The sequence below is a fragment of the Homo sapiens genome, chromosome 9 (genome assembly GCF_000001405.40).
Source record: "Homo sapiens chromosome 9, GRCh38.p14 Primary Assembly".
In the NCBI taxonomy this organism is placed as follows: domain Eukaryota; kingdom Metazoa; phylum Chordata; class Mammalia; order Primates; family Hominidae; genus Homo; species Homo sapiens.
The window spans coordinates 15,351,106-15,355,992 of record NC_000009.12 but is presented as its reverse complement, the minus strand read 5'-3'; the positions used below and the strand labels follow the sequence as shown (position 1 = coordinate 15,355,992).

Sequence of the window (4,887 nt, the reverse complement as noted above, 5' to 3'; positions counted from 1 at the left end):
TGTGCAGACGAAGCCTTCAGGTAGCAGGCTCCAGAGAGAATAGATTGCAAATGCTTCTTATCAGACTTAAGGCCTGTGTTGATGTTAATGCCAGGGAGGTATAATGAGGCCTGTCTGACCCTCACTTCCAGCCATGGCCTGAGCCAGTCCTTCAGGTTAAATTTTCACGCGGAGGAGGTAGTGCATTCAGATGGCTGGGGCGAGGGGAGGGTCTTAGAATTTTATTTTTGATTTACAGGGGTACAAGGGCAGATTTGTTACATAGGTAAACTTGTGTCCTGGGGGTTTGTTGTACAGATTTATTCTTTCATTCATTCTGTAATTACTAACCAGGAGCTTCCCAAATGCAAGATTAAATGTCTATTGAGTACTAATGGTGTGAGCCCTGTACTCATTGTGCCTGTAAACCTGAAAGCAAGTCAGGAGAAATTTGAGTTTGACTTAGCTTGTCAAACGTATGTTTAGCCAACTTAGGACATTTCTTAATAAAAGTGAAACATCAACCCTTAAATTCATTTAGTAAAGGGTGTGAAACCATGCTTGCTTCTTAGGAGCAACATCTCTAAAACTTATCTTTCGCTTCTTCCTATTATGGCAAAAGTGTCCTGTTTTTCTTATCCAAACTGAGGACTAAGCTCAGATTGTTTTTCTTATCTTGCCCAAATTCCCTATCTAAGGGGTTTGGGGAGTCATGCCCTACAAACCATAAATTCTCATCAGATGAGTTTTGTTTAGACCTATATATTGTTACTACTTTCCAATCTGACTTTGGCATAATATTACGTGACAAAGAAGAAAATCAAAATATTTTACCTGAAAACGTGTTTCTTTGCCACATTTTGAAATGGCCCTGCAAAGCTGCCCTTTGTGGGGGAAAATTTGCATCTGTAAAGAATCTCTATTAACATAGCCAGATCTTTTTCTTCTAGGCCCTCCCAATCCTGAAGAGATTAACTGAGAGTCTAGCACCACTTAAAGGTCTGAACAGGAAACATTTGTCATCTGTTGTCTCTAAAGGCAGCCACTATGAGACTTCAAAAGAACCTTGGTCTCCGCAATCTTTTATCTTAAGCTGAACATTTCCTTTCTATTGATCCCAGGTCTTTAGACAAACTCGACCAATTGTCAACCAGAAAATGTTTAACTAGAACTCCCCCACTGTCCGCCACCCCCTTTGAGTTGTCTTGCCTTTCTGGACCAAACCAATGTAATACTTAAATGTATTTGGTTGATGTCTCATGCCTCCCTAAAATGTATAAAACCATGTTGCACCTTGACCACCTTGGGCCCATGTTCTCAGGACCTCCTGAGGGCTGTGTCATGGGCCGTGGTCACTCATATTTGGCTCAGAATAAATCTCTTCAAGTATCTTATGATATGTCATGATCAGACAATGAAACTTGACTTAAAACTCAATACAAAAACTAACATGGAATGAGCCATGAACTTATATGTAAAATATAAAATATAAACTCTTGGCTGGGTGTGGCAGCTCACACCTGTAATCTCAGCACTTTGGGAGGCTGAGGCGGGTGGATCACCTGAGGTCAGGAGTTCGTGACCAGCCTGGCCAACATGGTGAAACCCCGTCTCTACTAAAAATACAAAAATTAGCTGAGTGTGGTGGTGGGTGTCTGTAATCCCAGTTACTTGGGAGGCTGAGGCAGGAGAATCGCTTGGACTCAGCAGGCAGAGGTTGCAGTTAGCCGAGATGGCACCATAGCACTCCAGCCTGGGCAAGAGAGCCAGAATCCATCTCAAAAAGAAAAAAAAAAGATAATTTGGCAGGTAGGGGAGCCAGGGAGTGGGGGAGTATTGACTGGTCAAGTGGGAGATGAAATCATAGGGGATCAAGATGGGTTCTTTTTGCTGCCTTCCGTTCCTGGATGGGATTGCAGAACTCGTTGACCTAGATTACCGGTCTGAGTGGCTGCAGCTGGTGCATCAGTAGGAAAGGTCTCAAAGCACTAGTCTTAAGTTTTACAATAGTGATGTTATCCCTAGGAGCAACTGGGGAAGTTCAGAATCTTGTGGCCTCTAGCTGCATGACTTCTAAACCATAACTTCTTTTTTTTTTTTTTTGAGACCAAATCTTGCTCTGTCGCCCAGGCTGGAGTGCAGTGGCGCAATCTCTGCTCACTGCAACCTCCATCTTCCAGGTTCAAGCGATTCTCCTGCCTCAGCCTCCCGAGTAGCTGGGACTACAGGCGCCCACCCCACGCCCTACTCATTTTCGTAGTTTTGGTAGAGACGGGGTTTCACCATATTGGTCAGGCTGGTCTCCATCTCCTGACCATGCGATCCACCCACCTCGGCCTCCCAAAGTGCTGGGATTACAGGCGTGAGCCACCATGCCCGGCCATAAACCATAACTTCTAATCTTGTGGTTAATTAGTCTTACTGTAGCAGGACAAGCTGCAGGCAAAAATCCTCAGACACCGAGTTAAAGAAGGAAGAGGTTTATTCGGCCGGGAGCATCGGCAGGACTCCTGTCTCAAGAGCCGAGCTCCCCGAGTGAACAATTTCTGTCCCTTTTAAGGGCTCACAACTCTAACGGGGTCCGCATGAGAGGGTCGTGATCGGTTGAACAAGCAGGGGGTATGTGACAGGGACTGCATGCACCGGTGATCAGAGTGAAACAGAACGGACCGGGAAGTTTTACAGTGTCTTTCTATAATCTATAGATAACATCAGTTGCTGGGCCAGGGGTCGAATTTTAACTACCAGGCTTAGGTCAGGCAGGCCCAGGCCTGGTTTTGGGTCTGGTTCCTTGGTTTTGGGTCTGGTTCCTAGGCGCCAGGCTACCCGCCTTTAGTTTTGGTTCTCTTTCCTTTTCTGAGGATAGAACAATATAAAACAATATGAGAGGGTCTGTCTCTCTTCTCTCATTACAAAGGCAGTCTGATCCCCAGGCAAGAAGAGGATTTGTTCCAGGAAAGGGTTATTATCTATCATCTTTATTTCAAGGTTCAACAATACACTACTATGCCCAGGAATGAACAAGGGCAGCTTAGAGGTTAGAAGCAAGATGGAATTGGTGAGGTCAGATCACTTGCACTGTCATAATTTTCTCACTGTTATAATTTTTGCAAAGGTAGCTTCAACTTGAATGGTACAGAAACATTTTTAAAAGAACACACCTAAAACTGAACTCATTATCTTCCTCCCAAAATCTGTCCTTCAGTGTTTCCTCTCAGGTGTCCTAGGCTTTGGTCTAGATTCCCTTTCTTGCTCTCTCTGACCTTCTTAAGAAACTGAAGCCAGCCTGGTGGGATGATCACAGGTAAAGGGGGCCCTGAGATAGGTGGTTCTCAGACCCATCCAAAGTAGGAAGATTGTTTTCCTATGACTACACAGCGAGGTGGAGAAATTGACTATAAAGTTGAGTTTGCAGCTGGAAAAACAGGATTGAGCACTGAGGCCAAAGCACTAGCAAAGACAAATACTGGAAACAAGGATCAACGTTGGTGGTTGGGAAATTTGAAACCAACATAGGCTAAGTAGTGAACACACGGTTGAAAAGAGTGGACCAGAAGTGAGTTATTTAGGTGGAAGTGGGGTAAGGGTTGTAGATTAGCTATTGGGGACAATGTTCACTATTTGGGTGATGGGTCCACTAGCAGCCCAGACTTCACCATAATGCAGTACAAGCCTGTAAGAAATCTGTACTTGTATCTCTTAAATATATTAAAATTTAAAACATTTTTTAAAAGTAAATAAAAAAAGTGGGACGATAAAGAAAAAAAGTGAGTTATTAATGGTGGGTGGAAGTAGCAACTTTCCTTTAAGTACTGGTGAATTGTATTGCTGAGTAAACGTCGTGGCATAAACAGTATCTTCACATCCTTAGCTGTGGCACTGAAATGAAGCTGTATGGATTGGTGATTGGTCTATGAAGACAAAAACTTTGTGAGAATTGGGAATAATTATTTTTTAAAAGACAAGTGGAATTTAAGAATTTTATCTATATCAGGGCCGGGCACAGTGGCTCACGCCTGTAATCCCAGCACTTTGGGAGGCCAAGTCAGGCGGATCATGAGGTCAGGAGATTGAGACCATCCTGGCTAACATGGTGAAACCCCGTCTCTACTAAAAATACAAAAAAAATTAGCCTGGCATGGTGGCAGGCACCTGTAGTCCCAGCTACTCGGGAGGCTGAGGCAGGAGAATGGCGTGAACCCGGGAGGCGGAGCTTGCAGTGAGCCGAGATCGAGCCACTGCACTCCAGCCTGGGCGACAGAGCGAGACTCCGTCTCAAAAAAACAAACAAACAAAAAAACAAAAAAAGAATTTTATCTAGATCAAAACATGCAAGTATGTTGATTTCCCAAACTTTTGATGTAAGTGCAAGACCTTCCCTTTGAGTTTAGGTTCACTCTTGGAATTCCTATACTCTTTCTTGCTTGAACTACCCCCTTAATTTCCATCATCACAGAAATTTCACTGGACAGTCTTAACTGTCACCTGAACACCAAAATGCCATGCAAAGTCCCTGATACTTCTTTTTCCAGCCTGACTTTCTGTCAATCCCTCATGCTCATCTTTGGCCACAGTCACACTATTAACACCACTTGTAGACTAAACACAGCAGCTATTTCATATTACTGCAGTCATACATGCTAATCCTTCACTAGAATACTGGTTCAGTTGAATGGGGCCTTGTGAATTCCTACTCAATCCCTTATGATCCAACACAGTTGACAATTCTTGTCATCTTTCCTGATTCTCCCAGGCATGAATAGTTGATTTGTTCTCTTTGTTTTAACAGCATTGTGTACATATTCTACAAAGCACTTACCACATCCTCTCTCCTCCAACAGACTGAGTTCTTTGAGGCCAGGAACCACATGTTATCCATCTTCGTATTGCTGGTAGCTAACGCAGGTC

At 43.7% G+C, this 4,887-nt stretch overlaps 1 annotated feature.

Annotated features, from left to right (window-relative positions):
* Positions 269 to 1,110: an enhancer, noted in NCBI's record as "OCT4-NANOG-H3K27ac hESC enhancer chr9:15354881-15355722 (GRCh37/hg19 assembly coordinates)". NCBI's record gives its function as "activates a minimal SCP1, AML or CMV promoter by ChIP-STARR-seq in naive H9 embryonic stem cells {active_cell/tissue: H9 hESC(naive)}" and the evidence as "EXISTENCE:reporter gene assay evidence [ECO:0000049][PMID:30033119]".